We start from the raw sequence: 17215 nt of genomic DNA, 5'->3' as shown, positions 1-17215 counted from the left end.
ATAGTGTCTTGGCACATAAACGTGTCGAGACTGACTCACGGATTTGGAAGTTGATTTTTATTTGAGGAGGTGGAAGTGAAAGGAAAGACGAGCTAGTAATGACCCTGTTATCCCTCCCCCACCAGCAGGGGGAGGTAGGATTGCGCTTGCTGTTGTTAGCCATGCAGGCAAGAAATCTGGCTTCTGGACGTTAGGAAGCATTTCTGATCGTTAGGTAGCAACTGCTCTACTTACCGAGGAGGAAATTTCCAGGTGCAGAGGCCTGCAAGAATGAGGGAGGGAAGTTCTGCCAGTAGATTAGAACCATGTAATCCCAGCATGTTGGACGCACAGGGATTTTTGAGATCATCTGGTCTGACCTGTCATCTCATGCAAGAAGAGAGTGGACTTTTTAGAGGTGACATGACTTGTGCAGACTAGTTTTTGGTCTATATGAGTGGTAGATGGCAAAATGGGAAAGGCATGAATGACCCTTGGAGTGAGAGAGAACAGTGTGTAGTTTCCAGTTTTCTCACTCGCTAAGCATGCAGGCTTGAGCTGGTTGCTCAGCATCCAGGTGCTTTTTGTTTGTTTGTTTGTTTTGAGACAGAGTTTCGCACTGTTGCCCAGGCTGGTGTGCAGTGGCGTGATCTCGGCTTGCAGCAACCTCCGCCTCCCAGGTTCAAGCGAGTTTCCTGCCTCAGCCTCCCGAGTAGCTAGGATTACAGGTGCCCGCCACCACTCCCGGCTAATTTTTTTGTAGTTTTAGTAGACATGGGGTTTCACTATGTTGGCCAGGCTGTTCTCAAACTCCTGACCTTGTGATCCGCTCACTTCGGCCTCCCAAAGTGCTGGGATTACAGGCGTGAGTCACCGCGCCCGGCCCCAAGTGCTTCTTACATAACATTGTAGAGTGGGGCGTTAACTGGAATAATGGAGGGGAAGCAGCTACTGGATTGCCTGCACATAGTGTGTGCACTCAGTAACTTCTAATAGCTTCCCCCATGCTGGGAATATCTGACTTCCCTTTGTTGAAATTATTTCATTCCCATCTTAAAGTGCTCTTGTGAACCTTCACTTCATAAAACCCAGCACAATGCCATTGATCAGTGCCAACAATTCACTCATTTTGTTGATTTTGTGTTTTTGAAACCAACCCTTGGGCCAGGCGCAGTGGCTCACACCTGTAATCCCAGCACTTTGGGAGACTGAGGTGGGAGGATTGCTTGAAGCCAGGAGTTCGAGAACAGCCTGGACAACATGGTGAGACCTCATCTCTACAAAAAATAAAAAGATTAGACAGATGTTGTGTTGCACGCCTATAGTCCCAGCTACTTGGGAGGCCGAGATGGGAGGATCTCTGGAGCCCATGGATTTGAGGTTGTAGTGAGCCATGATTGTGCCACTGCACTCCAGCCTGGGCAACAGAGTGAGATCTTATCTCCAAAAAAATATTTCTTTAAAAAAAGAAACCAATCCTTCCCCATGAAGACAGGACAGGTCCGAGTTCATATTGACTTGGTAACATTAGGTGCTTTGTGTATTAAACAAATCCGTGCGCATGAGCATTTCACATTCCAAAATGGAGGTCAACACGCATATAAATACAGGTGTATACAGAGCTCGCCTGGGCTGTCGCCCACCTTTCACACTGCCCCTCTTACCCCGTCACCCTCCTGTGCCAGGTTCCTGCCACACGGGCCTTCGTGACCTTCCTCCAAAAGGTCAGACTAGCTTCTGTGCTATAGTCTGTGTCTGTGTTCCCTCTGCGGGGAAGGCACTGCTCCCATCCTGCTTGTCTCCTTCTTGTTATTCAGGTCCTTTTGGGGAGGTTTTTGCTGATCAGCCAATCTGAAAGCGACCCCTAGTCTTTTTCTATCACATCAACCTGTTCCATTTTCGATAGCACTTGTTACGTGTTTGTGTATTTATTGTGTAGTGTCTGTTTCCTCCCATTGGACTGTTCACTATGTAGTTAACATAGAGGACTGGACGCGGTGGTTCATGCGTGTAATCTCAGCACTTTGGGAGGCCGAGGCAGGCAGATCATTTGAGGCCAGGAGTTCGAGACAAGCCTGGCCAACATGGCAAAACCCCATCTCTACTAAAAAAAAAAAAAAAAAAAAAAAAAAAAAATTAGCTAGGCGTGGTGACAGGCACCTGTAATCCTGGCTACTTGGGAGGCTGAGGCAGAGAATCTCTTGAACCTGGGAGGCGGAGGCTGCAGTGAGCCGAGAGCACACCTCTGCACTCCAGCCTGGGTGACAGAGTGAGACTCCATCTCAAACAAAACAAAACAAACAAAAAAAATAGGGCCTTCATTTTTCTCATTTTCCACTGCATAACCAGTGTCTAAAGCAGTGCCCAGCACACAGGTAGGCCCTTAGTAAATTGCCATTGGATGAATGAAGGACTGAATTTGAACAAACCATGCGGACAGCAGCATACATTATGGGAAGAGACCTGGGCTGGCATTTCAAGCTACTTTCACTCCAGACTGCATGACCTTCAGAGAGAATTCCAGTTTTTGAATATCACTTTTCTGATAAAATAAAGAGGTTAAACTAGATCACATAAGGTTCCTTTCAGCTCTTTATTCTGCAGTTGTATGTTGGTTTTCTTCCGTGCTGAACAATCTAATAGGAATTTACTGTTACAAGTCAAGGTGGTTTTTAGGTGGCTTCTGTGTATCAAAGCACAAACTACATGCCAGGCAATGGCTGATGGCTCTGGAGAGTCAGACAATAGGTGAGAAGGCGGCATTATCTAAGAAAGAAGGAATCGCTTTAGGTAGGGTGAAGTATTCCACTGCCAGTGGAAGATGTGTCTATCCATAAACACTAAGGAATCTTTTTGATAAATGGTAGAAGGCTAATTGCAATTAAAACAAAATTGCCCTTCCAGGCAGGGCACGGTGGCTCACGCCTGTAATCCCAGCACTTTGGGAGGCTGACGGGGTTGGGTCACGAGGTCAGGAGTTCGAGATCAGCCTGACCAACATGGTGAAGCCCTGTCTCTACTAAAAATACAAAGATTAGCTGGGCGTGGTGGTGCACACCTGTAATCCCACCTACTCAGGAGGCTGAGGCAGGAGAATTGCTTGAATCTGGGAGGCGGAGTTTACAGTGAGCTGAGATTGTGCCACTGCACTCCAGCCTGGGCGACAGAGCAAGACTCTGTCTCAAAACAAAAAACAACTAAAAAAAAAAAAAACATAATTGCCAAACCAAATTATTCCTACTGGCCAAGTGCCGTGGCTCACACCTGTGATCCCAGCACTTTGGGAGGCCGATCCATGCAGATCACTTGAGGTTAGGAGTTTGAGAACAGCCTGGCCAACATGGTGAAACCCTGTCTCTACTAATAATACAAAAATTAGCCAGGCGAGGTGGCGTCCACCTGTAATTCCAGCTAGTTGGGAGGCTGAGGCATGACAATCTCTTGAACCTGGGAGGCGCAGGTTGTAGTGAGCCGAGATCCTGCCACTGCACTCCAGCCTGGGCAACAGGGTGAAACGTGTTTCAAAAAACAAACAAAAACTCACAAATATTCCTGCCTATGTAATTTTAGGGAGAGTTATGTAAAATTAACGTTTAAGCCTCTCCTTTTGTGATTTCCTTTATTAACAAACAATAACAATTTGCAGAATTGCTTTCCTTTCTCCATACCATTTTACCTTTCAGAATAGGATGTGTTAAATCAAGTATAGCCTACAGCTGCCTCCTTATATATTTTAAGTTCTTATATATTTTAAGTTTGGCTTAACTGAGTTATGGCCAAAGGGGGACAAGTGTTCAAACTGTGTTCAAATCAGGCAACGGCTGAGCTGAAACCAATCTGGCTGTGTTTGTCCCTCACTTCCATTTTCCGGACATCACTTTCCTTTTTCTGTCTATAAATATTCTCCCACCACATGGCTGTGCTAGAGTCTCTCTGAGCCTACTCTTGCTCAGGAGGCTGCCTGATTTGTGTCTGGTTCTCTGCTCAGTTAAACTCTCTTAATTTAATTTGCTAAGATTTTTAGCAGGTGTATTGTTTAAATACTCTGTATTAGTTTCCTATTACTGCTTTAATAAATTACCACAAACTTAGGAGTTTAAAAGAATGCAAATTTATCTGTTAGCTCTGATGATAGGTCAGAAGTACAAAGAGGGCTCTCTCTGCCTGAGAGTAAGATCTCATGGGGCTGTGTTTTTTCTCTAGGCTCACTCTCTCACCTAGGCTGGAGTGCAGTGGTGTGATCCTGGCCTACTGCAACCTTGTTCTCCTGGGCTCAGGAGTTACTCCCATCTCAAATGCCCAAGTAGCTGGGACCACAGGTGTGTGCCACCATGCCCAGCTAATTTTTGTATTTTTAGTAGAGATGGGGTTTCACCATGTTTTCCAGGCTAGCCTTGAACTCCTGAGCTCAAACAATCTGCCCGCCTCAGCCTCCCAAAGTACTGGGATTACAGGCATGAGCCACTGCCCTTTCTCCATCTTCAGAGCCAGCAGCAGCCAGTGTTGGGGCTTAGAAAACAATACCCCAAAATATGGCACATGGGCATACTGAGTACTTTGAACACTAGGACATTGGAAGCCCTCAGAAGCAGGCTCAGAAACAAAGTCTCCTCTCTGACCTTCTCTTGTCCTCCTGTCACCCAACCCCTGTTCCCCCTCCAAAGTCTTAGAAACCAGAATTCCTCTTCCCCAAGGTAGATCCTAGTAATTAGAAACCCTCTCATTAAACCTAGTAATGTCACTCTCTGCTTTCTCCTTTGAAGATGCTCATTCCAGAGGGGTCCTGCCCCATACCCAAGAGGAAGGAATGCTACCCAGAGAGGCCAAGAAGAATCTGCATAGACAAGCCTTGTGTGTTCCCCACTTAGTCTATCACAATTAGATTCTTCTCTTTGTCCAGTCATGTTTCTACCTGGTTGCCATTCCTCATTGAACCTAAACATAAAATCAGTTTCCCCTTGGTGTTTAGGTCTTCATTTCTGATGGCTCCTGTGTCCTGTATAACTTTGATTAAATAAATTTATTATGCATTGATATGGTTTGGTATGTCTTCACCCAAATCTCTTCTTGAATTGTAGTTCCCATGATCCCCATGTGTCCTGGGAGGGACCAAGTGGGAGGTAACTGAATCATGGGGGCGGTTACCTCCATGCTAGTCTTGTGATAGTGAGTGAGTTCTCACAAGATCTGATGGTTTTATAAGGAGCTTTCCCTCCTTCTGCTTGGCACTTCTCCTTGCTGCTGCCATGTGAAGAAGGACATGTTTGCTTCCCCTTCCACCATGATTGTAAGTTTCCTGAGGCTTCCCCAGCCATGCTGAACCGTGAGTCAATTAAACCTCTTTCCTTTTTAATTACCCAGTCTTGGGTATGTCTTCATTAGCAGCACGAGAACAGATGAATATAGCATTTCTCTTGTTAACCTGTTTATTGTTATAAGAATGTTGGCTCTGACCTTTATAATGGATATGAAAAAGTATTGCACCTTTCTGTCTCTATACTGGTTAAGTCTTTCTCACATCATGTCCCTTTGATACCCACTCTCCTGCCTCCCTTTTCCACATTTAGAGACCCTTGTAATTACACTGCACCCACCTGGATAATCCAGGATTATCTCCTTATTTTAAGGTCAGCTGATTAGCAACCTTAATTCCATCTGCTACCTTAATTCCTCTGTGCCGTGCATTGTAACATCTTCACAGGTTCTGGGAAATAGGGCATGGACATTTTCTATTGTTCTGCCTATCACACATGCCTATAAGAAAAAGAGCAACCACTAAAGAAAAGCAGATTCTAAGGCATTTGCTGAAATGTAACAGTGTATGTATTAATATGTGAGAACAGCCACATTGCTGTTTTAATTAAGAAAAAAGGTGATAGTATCTACTTTGTTTTATTGAAGACCTACCACCATGGAAGGAAAAAATGTTCCTAGTACCTGGCTGAAAATACCACCAGTTGGGGATTTGTGTGCCAGATTTCAGAAAACATCCTGTAACTCTTTTGTTTGCCCATCAGCACTGTCTTCTGTGTGTGAAGTTGGTAGAAAGCAGACAGTCCCATTTACAGAGCTAGTTTGTCTATAGACCATGTTCACAAATGTAGTTTTGTTGAAACCCTTTTGTCCTGCAACTTTGGCTTCAAATGATTTCTTCAAGAATCTACAGCTATGACCAACTACACAATAGAAACCAATTATATTCCCCTGTGGAGCATCAGATGTAAATTTCTGCTTTGCCTACTTTATAGCAAGAAACACAGAGGAGGGAAAAGTTAACTTCTGGCCCTGATTCATCACTTTTATTGAAGTTAAATTCTTTTGTTTTAATGCACACTTGATTGAGCAAGCATTTATTGAGGCAGTTATGGTTTGTAGGAGAAAGAGACAGTTGAAGAAAGAACAAACGAATCTAATGTAAATCAAATACTTAGCCCTTTTATAGGAACTACAAAGCCTTAAATGTGTGTTCTTAACAGTAATTTTTACAAAACTCCAATAGGAAGCTTTGACAGTGATTGTTTCTGCAGGGAGATGGGTTTTTCCTTTCACATGCTAATCACCTGCTCCTGGTGATATTTCTCTCCTTGACTGCAGTCTTGGAATTGAATAATTTATGGAATGAATTTTGTTGTAAATTTACTGTGTCACAAGCAGGTTGTAATTTCACTAACAGTTCACTTAAGTTATTAAGTTAAAAAAAATGTGGTTGATAGGATAGTGCATTTGGAGGTCCCCCCAGCCCCCCAGGAAGTTCACATCTTATATATTTTCAAAACAGAGTACTTGCCTAATTTTTATTCAGAATCTGATATGAGAAAAGGAGGTACACATTAACATAAGTAGAATTGCATTTGCACACTATTGTTGAATTTTGGAAGTCGTAAACAAATTATTGAAGATTTTATAGAGACAGAAATAGCATTAAACCCACGGTGCTGTGGCGCTGCTGCCATTGTCTTCTGAGTAATTGTCCCCAGCTTGCTGATGACAAATGAAGAGTCGGTGGTGTGAAGGTGAAAATGCCCCTGGGAGGGAGAAAAGCCACATTAATCCCTTTAAATGTTGCTTCAACTTTGAGGTTAAGATAATGGCAAATTATCAGTCTCCCAAATCTTATCCGATCCAAATGGACTACAAGGAGAATAAAAACAAAAAAATCTTTAAAAATCTCTCACAGGGGTATCTGATTGGCTCCATCTACATTCACTGTGTTCCCAGGGCTTCCCTTTTAATGGCTGTTCTGCTGTGATAAGAGGCAACATTTGGCCACTGCAGAAACCTCTGCATAGTTTCTGCCCCAGATCCTTCAGCATTCAGCAAACATGCATTTAAGGCCTCCTGTTATTTACATTGAAATTTTTCTATTGACCCTGCCAGTGTGAATGAATTTCAAACAAGTCGTTTCTTTCTCTGTATAGATTATTTCCCTAGGTTCCTGGTAGGGGTTACTTTTAATTCCTCTGGGAGTTCCCTCTATTCTTGTTAGCACCCTGAGGATTTGCTTTCTGTGTTCCACCCTGGTGCCTCATGTGTGGCCCCCTCTTCCTGCACCCAGCCCTGGGTATTCCAACTCCTGCGCAGGGGATGCTGGGTAATAGCCACTATTCTTGAACAGGAATACTTTTTAGGCCTTCAGAATAGACATTTTCACCATCTGTTACATAGAATCTAGAAATGTGATGAGAAAACAGGTTGTAATTAACCAAAAAATGCTTAAGACTCTGGGTGTCTTAATGCATTGAGTTGAGGAAATATCCTCTCAAATTACATGAAAAGAAAGACAGCTTTTACAATTTTTTTTTTAAATTAAATAGGCCTTATTTTTTGGAGCTGTTTTAGGCTTACAAAAAATTGAGGGGAAAGTACAGAGTTTCCATATGCCCCTCCTTTCCTTCCCCCCGTCTAGTTTCCCCTGTTAACATCTTGCGTTAGTATGGTACATTTATTGCAATTGATGAGGCAATGTTGATCCACCGTTAATTAACTCAAGTCCATAGTTTACAGTAAGGTTCACTCCCGGTATTGTATATTCTGTGGTTTTCAGCAAGTGCATGACATGTATCTACCGTTACAGCATCACACAGAATAGTTTCACTGCCCTGCGCTCCATCTATTCATTCCTTTCTCGCCGCTAACCACTGATCTTATACTGTCACCATAGTTTTGCCTTTTCCAGAATGTCATATAGTTGGAATCATACAGTATGTTGCCTTTTCAGATTGGCTTCTTTTGTAAACATGATAGATTCATTGTGTGATGTACGTGACAAGTCAAGTCGCCGAAACACCAGGTTGCTGCAGAGAAAGAGGTTTCATTGGAGGGCCGCCGAATGAGGAGACAGGAGGAAATCTCAGAATCGTCTCCCAGAGGAGTCTGGGGCTAAGGTTTTTAAGGTTTTTGGAGTGGGCTGGAATGTGGCGATCATTGATTGGAAAGAGTCCATTATCTCATGGGACAGGGAGATGAAGAAACTATTCTCATGCTGATTCAGTTTCTCTATAAGGGGGCCACTGGAATTCGGAATCTGGAAACATGTTAAGCAATTCTTAAACAAAAGCCTTGTAATTCTAACATCAGAGATCTTATCTATAAGAACAATGGGGATGTATGTGGTCCGTATGTGGTACTACGTGACTTTTGGTTACAAGGGAGTGGAGCAAAGTGCAGCCTAATTAATGCTTAATTATAACGTATTTCTGTTCAGAATTCTTGTTAACCCTCTGAGGATGGCTTCATTTTCACTTAGCAATATGCATTAAGGGTACTCCATGTTTTTTCACGGCTTGATAGCTAATATCTTTCCATCGTTGAATAATTGGCTTGTGCTTTTTATTGTAGCTAACATTGTGTAATGTAGCAGAGGAAAATTAATTTTCTCTTTACACTTTATAGTTCTTAATTGGGAATGGGAGGGCAAAAAGGTGTGATGCCTTTTCTCATCCATCGTAAGGGTTACGGCCAGCACTCCTATAACAAAAGACAGGTTAACAAGATAAACACATAACACACTTATTTAATCAAAGTCTTACAGGACACAGGAGCCTTGAGAAATGAAGATCCAAACACCCAGAGAAGACTGTTTTTATGCATAGGCACAGTGAAGAATTGACAGCCATGTAGAAATGTGATTGCGTCAAAAGAGAATGATCTAATATTGTGATAGATTCTGCTGGGGAAACCCAGCGAGGCCTGTCTATTCGGATTCTTCTTGACCTCTCTGGGTAGCGTTCCTTCCTTTCAGGTGTGGGGCAGGACCCTCTGGAATTGTTACCAGAAAGGGGTCCTGATCCAGACCCCAAGAGGGGGTTCTTGGATCTCGCACAAGAAACAATTAAGGGTGAGTCCATTGAGTAAAGTGAAAGCAAGTTTATTAAGAAAGTAAATAAATAAACCGAGTGCAGTGGCTCACGCTTGAATCCCAGCACTTTGGGAGGCCGAGGCAGGTGGATCACGAGGTCAGGAGATCGAGACCATCCTGACTAACACAGTGAAAACCCGTCTCTACTAAAACATACAAAAAATTAGCCAGGCGTGGTGGCGGGTACCTGTAGTTCCAGCTACTCGGGAGGCTGAGGCAGGAGAATGGCTTGAACACGGGAGGCGGAGCTTGCAGTGAGCCGAGATCATGCCATTGCACTCCAGCCTGGGTGAAAGAGCGAGACTCCATCTCAAAGAAAAAAATAATAATAATAAAAATAAAAAAAGAAAGTAAATAAATAAAAGAATGGCTACTCCATAGACAGAGCAGCCCCAAAGGCTGCTGGTTGCCCATTTTTATGGTTATTTCTTGATGATATGCTAAGCAAGGAGTGGATTATTCATGCCTTCCCTTTTTAGACCATATAGGGTAACTTCCTGACGTTGCCATGGCATTTGTAAACTGTCATGGCGCTGGTGGGAGTGTAGCAGTGAGGATGACCAGAGGTCACCCTCGTCGCCATCTTGGTTTTGGTGGGTTTTAGCTGGGCTCTTTACTGCAGCCTGTTTTATCATCAAGGTCTTTAGGACCTGTACCTTGTGCCGACCTCCTGTCTCATCCTGTGACTTAGAATACCTTAACCATCTGGGAATGCAGCCCAGTAGGTCTCAACCTCATTTTACCCAGCCCCCACTCAAGATGGAGTTGCTCTGGTTCAAATGCCTCTAACAAAATGAGGGTCTTCAAGGGAGAAGGAGGAAGTCAGAGAATGACCTTTCTAGGTTGTATGGCTTACTCTGGAGAAGGTTTCTAATTTCTAGGATCTGCTTTGGGGAAGAGGAATTCTGGTTTGTAAGATCCACTTTGGGGAAGGCAGCGGGTTGGGAGACAGGAGGGCAAGAGAAGGTCAGAGAGTGACTTTGTTTCTGAGTCTGCTTCTGATGCCATTCAATCTCCTTCCGTTCAAAGCACCCAGCACACTAAAGGGTCATGCTTTGGGGTGTCATTTTCTAAGCCTCCAAAGTACTGTTTCCCATAACAGGCAGATAAATGAGAACAAAAACCCCCAGAAGTTTCATAACATGTATGTCTCATGCGTACATGGCAGATACCCAGAGAAATCTCCAAGTGCTGGCTTTGAATTCAGGCTTAAATACCATTGTCTGCTGAAACAAAGAAAGAGCAAAGAAAGAATGAGGAATGCCAGTTATGGGGAGGTGTCAGGAAAAACAGTGAACAGGGTAAGGTTTGTTCTGTAGATTTAAGTCCAGGTCTTCTCCATTGATATGAGTCTCTAGTGATTTAAGGTCATCCCTTTCTTCCTGGTACTGAGAGGGAGACAGCCTTACAAATAAAAATTTTCTTTATGGATGTAAATTACCTTACAAACGCGTAACTTCTACATGGTCCTTTCCAATGCATGTTACCATTGTGGGTAATTAGTTTTGGTCTTAATCTTGTATGATGAAAATTACAGTAGCTAACACATAGTGCTTCTCCTGTGGCTGCTGTTTCTCAAAATAATCCTGTTCCGAAGAGGCATGTTTTAGGGTGACCTATTCTCGTCTCCTACAGTCAGGTTTTGGAGCAGCATATTCTGGTCTCCTGGAATGGGAACACAGACTTTTGGATATGGCAGCAAAAGTAAGAGGAGTTGCCTTTCACTGTCGTGGGTCCAGCTGGCATCTTGTATTTTCTTTTCTACCACTGATAACCTAATAGGGTTAAGTCCCCTGTGTAATGCATGACCACAAAATAATGAGGCTAATGTAACAATCCACATGGGAAAATCAGGTTCATTAATTTGATCACATTTCATATATTCCTCTTAGCATTTTTCCTTGTTAATTATAAATGGCATACAGTATCTAGTCTCTTGCTCTCTAAGAAAAAGAGACTTATGGTTAATGCTGCAGGCATATATGTATCCAAACCAGCTCAGGGAAATTATAATCCCATGTGTCATAACTGTTTAATATCAGGCACATATTCAGTCTACAAATATATATATAGAGAGGGTCTTGCTGTGTCATCCAGGCTGGAGTGCAGTGGTGCGATCTTGGCTCACTGCAACCTCTGCCCCAAGGGTTCAAGCAATTCTCCTGCCTCAGCCTCCCAAGTAGCTAGGATTACAGGCACCCACCACCATACCCAGATAATTTTTGCATTTTTAGTAGAGATGGGGTTTCACCTTGTTGGCCAGGCTGGTCTCGAACTCTTGACCTCAAGTGATCCACCCACCTCGGCCTCCCAAAGTGCTGAGATTACAGGTGTGAGCCACTGCACTCGGCCTTCACAATTTTTTTTTTTTTTTTTTTAACACATATTGAGTATTAGGTGCCAATCTGTTTACTGTTTACTGGTGAACAAGTTGGAACTTATAACATTCTATTATAAACTACAAAGAGGCAATAGAACAAATAATTAACGTGATTTAGGTCCTTGCTATGGTCTGAATGGTTGCGTCTCCCCAAAATTCATACGTTTAAACCAAATCCCACATATGATAGTATTATGAGGTGAGGCTTGGCTGGGCATGGTGGCTCCTGCCTATAATTCTAGCACTTTGAGAGGTTGAGGTGGGAGGATTGCTTGAGTTTGGGAATTTGAGATCAGCCTGGGCAGCATAGCGAGACCTTGTCTCTACAAAAATTTAAAAAATGAGCTGGGCATGGTGGCATGTGGCTGTAGTCCCAGCTATTAGGGAGGCTGAGCTGGGAGGATGGCTTAAGCCCAGGAGTTGGAGGCTGCAGCAAACCATGATGGCAGCATTGCACTCCATCCTGGGTTGATGGAGCAGCACCCCATCACTATTTAAAAAAAAAAGAGGGCCGGGTGCCGTGGCTCACGCCTGTAATCCTAGCACTTTGGGAGGCTGAGGCAGGTGGATCACCTGAGGTCGGGAGTTTGAGACCAGCCTGACCAACATGGAGAAACCACATTTCTACTAAAAATACAAAAATAGCTGGGCGTGGTGGCACATGCCTGTAATCCCAGCTACTCCGGAGGCTGAGGCAGGAGAATTGCTTGAATCCGGGAGGCAGAGGTTGTGGTGAGCCGAGATCACGCCATTGCACTCCAGCCTGGGCAACAAGAGTGAAACTCCATCTCAAAAAAAAAAGAGGTGGCACCTTTGGGGGTTAATTAGATCATCAAGGCAGAGCCCCTATGAATAGGATTAGTGCCCTTATAAAAGAGGCCCCAGAGAGCTGCTGTACCCCTTCTTCCATGTAAGACACACAGAAGGCACCATCTATGAGGAACAGACCCTCACCAGACATTGAATCTGCCAGGACTTTACTGTGAGGAACACATTTCTGTTGCTTATAAGCCACTCAGTTTATGGGATTATTGTTACAGCAGCCTGAATGAACTAAGACAGTCCTAAAAAGTGCTATAAAAAAAGATAAGGGTGTGTGTGTGTGTGTGTGTGTGTGTCTTTAAAAGATAAGGTTGTGTGTGTGTGTGTGTGTCTGTGTGTGTGTGTAGGCAGGTTGAAGCTGCTTTTGCTAGAGTGTTTAGGGAAGGTGTCTTTGAGGAAGTGGCATTTAATTTTTTTGGGTTTTTTTTTTTTTGAGACAGAGCCTCACTCTCTTGCCCAGGCTGAAGTGCAGTGGCATGATCTTGGCTTACTGCAGCCTCTGCCTTCTGGGTTCAAGTGATTCTCCTGCCTCAACCCCCTGACTAGCTGGGATTACATTCGCACACCACCACACCTGGCTAATTTTTGTATTTTTAGTAGAGATGGGGGGGCTTCTCCATGTTGGCCAGGCTGGTCTCGAACTCCTGACCTCAGGTGATCCGCCCACTTCGGCCTGCCAGTGTGCTGGGATTACAGGCCTGAGCCACTGTGCTATTTAATTTGATGAGAAATAGCAACTGTGTGAAGATCTGGGGAAGAACATCCAGGCAGAAGGAGCAGCAAGGGCAGTAGCCCTGAGTGGGAGGGCAGGGCAGGGCAGGGCATTGGGGAAGTGAAAAAAGGAAGGCAAGATAGTCAATACATGGTCCTTTCCAATGCATGTTACCATTGTGGGTAATTAGTTTCGGTCTTAATCTGTTTGATGAAACTTGCAATAGCTAACACTTCCATAGTGCTTATTATGTGCTAGGCACTGTCCTAAATCCTTTACAAATCTTAACTCATTTGTTACTTATAACAACTTCATAGTTTCTCGATTTTACAGATGAGGAAATTGAGGCCGAGAAAGATTGATGTCTGTGTCCAAGTTTACATAGCTAGTGAGTGGTAAATCCAGGAATCTACAAGACTTTCATGGACCATAGGACCAATTAATTATCCAGGAGAAAATATTTTTAATAGTGAAATGGTTCACTATCAAAATATAACTATTAAGTTATATCACCGGTGAAGATCAGTGCAAAGTACTGCTTTGCTTTTTAGTGATTAAATGTTTACAAAAACCCAAGCATGGCCTTTAGATATGCCATTCTAGTTTGAAACAGAATGGGCAATAATTTCCCATTTAAAAAAACTACTGGCTAAAGGAGTGTGTCCACTTGGATGATATCAAAATGGATTTGTTATAATGCTGTGTATGAAATAAGAATAGGGAAAAACATATAAAACCAGCATCTTTTGTTTTCGTTGACATTGGCTTATATATTCAGCTGCTTTCCCCCATCAGTGTGTATCAAAAATTAAAATAGAGAAAACATTTTTTTTTTGTTTTTGAGATGGAGTCTCACTCTGTCACCCAGGCTGGAGTACAGCGGCATGATCTCGGCTCACTGCAAGCTCCGCCTCCTGGGTTCACGCCATTCTGCACCACGCCCGGCTAATTTTTTGTATTTTTAGTAGAGATGGGGTTTCACCTGTTAGCCAGGATGGTCTCCATCTCCTGACCTTGTGATCCGCCCGCCTTGGCCTCCCAAAGTGCTGAGATTACAGACGTGAGCCACTGCGCGCGGCCGGAAAACATTTTTTTTAAATTATAAATGCTGTTAGGACTCAAATGTTGTCATAATAGGTTTAATTTTTAATGTGCATTTCCTTGCTCTGTCCCATTGATGTAATTGGCACACATTCACTCCAGGATACAGGTTAATAACCTCCTAACCTGAGAAAAAAAAGAATAACAAAGAGAACAGCCCATGGTTTAGGTGACCATTTAAGTCACTGTTGCTCTTTTTAAAAATAATCTATTCTATTTCTTCCCCTTTCTGCTCATACCATTTGGTGCTTTCCAAAGCTCTGTTGATCATGAAAAAAAATAATTATTACTTCAAGGCATTATTTTCAAAAGAACTGTAAATAAATTACCTTAAAAATTAGACCTTGGTTTGCACAATGGTAACAAAAAGATAAAGTATTTCTATTTCATGGACTTATATTTAAATTAGAGTTGTTTGTGATTTGAAATACACACGAGGGTATTTTTCTTATTCATAGCTTAACAGCAGTGTCAGCTGCTCCTAATGTGCTCCTTAAGCATATTAGCTAATTGATGTTGTGGAAAGCTATGTAAAGACAATAAGAGTTCTAAGAAATGTACAAAATTGTTGGTCAGAAAAGTATGCAAACCTGCATAGCACCTATCATTATGTGTTGTAAATAAAAACATGAGTATAGGGTGGGCATGGTGGCTTATGCCTGTAATCCCAGCACTTTGGGAGGCTGAGGCGGGTGGATCACCTGAGGTCAGAAGTTCCAGACCAGCCAGGGCAACACGGGGAAACTCTGTCTCTACCAAAAATACAAAAATTAGCTGGGTGTGTTGGCGCATGCCTGTAATCCCAGCTACTTGGGAGGCTGAGGCAGGAGAATCGCTTGAACCTGGGAGGGAGAGGTTACAGTGAGCTGAGATCACGCCACTGCACTTCAGCCTGGGTGACAGAGCAAGATTCCATCACATTCACACACACACCAACAAACATGAGTATAGCAGCTAACATTTGTGTGTCAGTGGCATGTGGCATGCTGCTTTGTGCATGGTAGCATCATATGAAAGCTGGTTGAATAAACAGAAGGATGAACGGATATAGGATGGTTAATTTTATGTGTCGACTCGGCTAGGCCATGGAACCCAGATATTTGACAAACCATTATTCTAGTTGTGTCTGTGAAGGTATTTTAAAGCTGAGATTAGCATTTAAATCAGCAGCCTCTGAGTAAAGCTGATTATCTCCTGTAGTGTGGGTGGGTCTCATCCAATTAGTTGAAGGCTTTAATAGAGAAAAGACTCAACTCCCCTGAGAAGAGGAAATTCTGCCTCCAGACTACATTCAGACTGGAGCTAAAATATCAGCCTCTTTGGGTCTTTAGCTTGTTGGCTTACCCTACAGACTTTAGATTTGTCAGCCTCCACAGTTACGTGTGTAATCCTTAACATCTCTCTCTCCCTTTCTCTCTGTTTCTAGAGATAGATATGTATATATCGAGAGAGAGAGACAGAGAAAGAGAGAAATATATCTTATGTATATGGATATATAGATAGAGACATCTGTGTCTATCAATATAGATATAAATAGAGATATCTATAGATATAAAACATATTCCTATTGGATCTATTTCTTTGGAAAACCCTGAGAAACACTGAATGATAGCCATTAACTAAGTATGTTATAATGTACACAATTATCTTAGAGTTGTGAAGGCAGAAAGTGCACTGTTCTAAATCTTGTGTTGAGACGAACATCAACTTCATTATTGCCATTGACATTTCTTACCATTGCGAGGCCGTGTTAAGGGTACAGGTGCAAGGAAGGGTGAAGATTTGCGGCCAATCTCTCAATCTGTACTCTGTGTGGTATGTATTATTCTGCACTTTTTAAACAATTAAAAAAAGCTTTACTAGTCCCGTGTAGTGGCTCACGCCTGTAATTCCAGCACTTTGGGTGGCTGAGGTGAGTGGATCACCTGGGGTCAGGAGTTCAAGACCGGCCTGGCCAACGTGGTGAAACCCTATCTCTACCAAAAAATACAAAAATTAGCTGGGCGTGGTGGCTTGTGCCTGTAGTCCCAGCTACTGGGGAGGCTGAGGCAGAATAATTGCTTGAACCTGGGAGACAGAGGTTGCAGTGAGCCGAGGTCATGCCACTGCATTCCAGCCTGGGAGACAGAGCAAGACTCCGTCTCAAAAACAACAACAACAACAAAAGACACTTTACAGTGTATCAGGCAAATCAATCGAAAGGAATCTTTGTTTTGGGGATTTCTTTTTAGTCCAGTAAAACTTGATCTGTGTAACTCAGAGTTCCATTGGATGGATAATTAATACGGATATTAGTTAAAGGGTTAGATGAAGAATTCCTTCTCCATGTAAGCCACTATGGTTTCTGATGCTTAATTTGATAAAACATTTCAGGGAGGCGAAACCTTCCTATTGGGAGTTATATATATTACCTTAATCCTCTGAGCCAGTTGTTTCTTTGGATGTAGACATCTTGACATTGTTGTTGCAGTTGATGGGGTATTGATCAGTTTTCCAGCGTTATAGATCTTCATTCAGCCGCAGTGCTCCTAAAACCAACGCAGAGTTGTCTTTGAGGGAAGCATCTGTCCCATAAAGATTTTAAGAACAGGAGCAATGACTATCTGTTTTCATTATTTTAAGTGCAGTCCTTTTTGGCAGTCTGGCTCAGAAGATGACCTCTTTGTGTCCTTTTCAGTAGTGTGGTTTTAAGATTCTTTGCTGGAAAAACTAACCAAATGTCTTGCAGAAATAGATCAACAAGGGACTCATAAGTGTCCATTGTCTCACGTTTGAGAGTCTTTTGCTGCTCTGAGGATACAGACTGGCTCATTCCTGAGGATTAAACAACTTCAAGGCAGGCCAAATGATAACCTGCTGGCCC

At 43.0% G+C, this 17215-nt stretch overlaps 1 long non-coding RNA gene across 1 annotated transcript, besides 1 other annotated feature; it reads left to right on the top strand.

Annotated features, from left to right (window-relative positions):
• Positions 1–4256: 4256 nt before the first annotated feature.
• LOC124903722 (uncharacterized) lies at positions 4257–5013 on the top strand. The gene is made up of 2 exons (XR_007065119.1): positions 4257–4298; positions 4743–5013. It is a non-coding gene; the product is annotated as an uncharacterized LOC124903722 (long non-coding RNA).
• Positions 13335–13444: a silencer, noted in NCBI's record as "silent region_7695". NCBI's record gives its function as "represses an Ori minimal core promoter by ATAC-STARR-seq in GM12878 lymphoblastoid cells {active_cell/tissue: GM12878}" and the evidence as "EXISTENCE:reporter gene assay evidence [ECO:0000049][PMID:35858748]".

Source organism: Homo sapiens, chromosome 16 (genome assembly GCF_000001405.40).
Source record: "Homo sapiens chromosome 16, GRCh38.p14 Primary Assembly".
NCBI lineage: Eukaryota > Metazoa > Chordata > Mammalia > Primates > Hominidae > Homo > Homo sapiens.
Note: the sequence above shows the minus strand (reverse complement) of the source record. Positions and strands in the feature narration are given on the sequence as shown.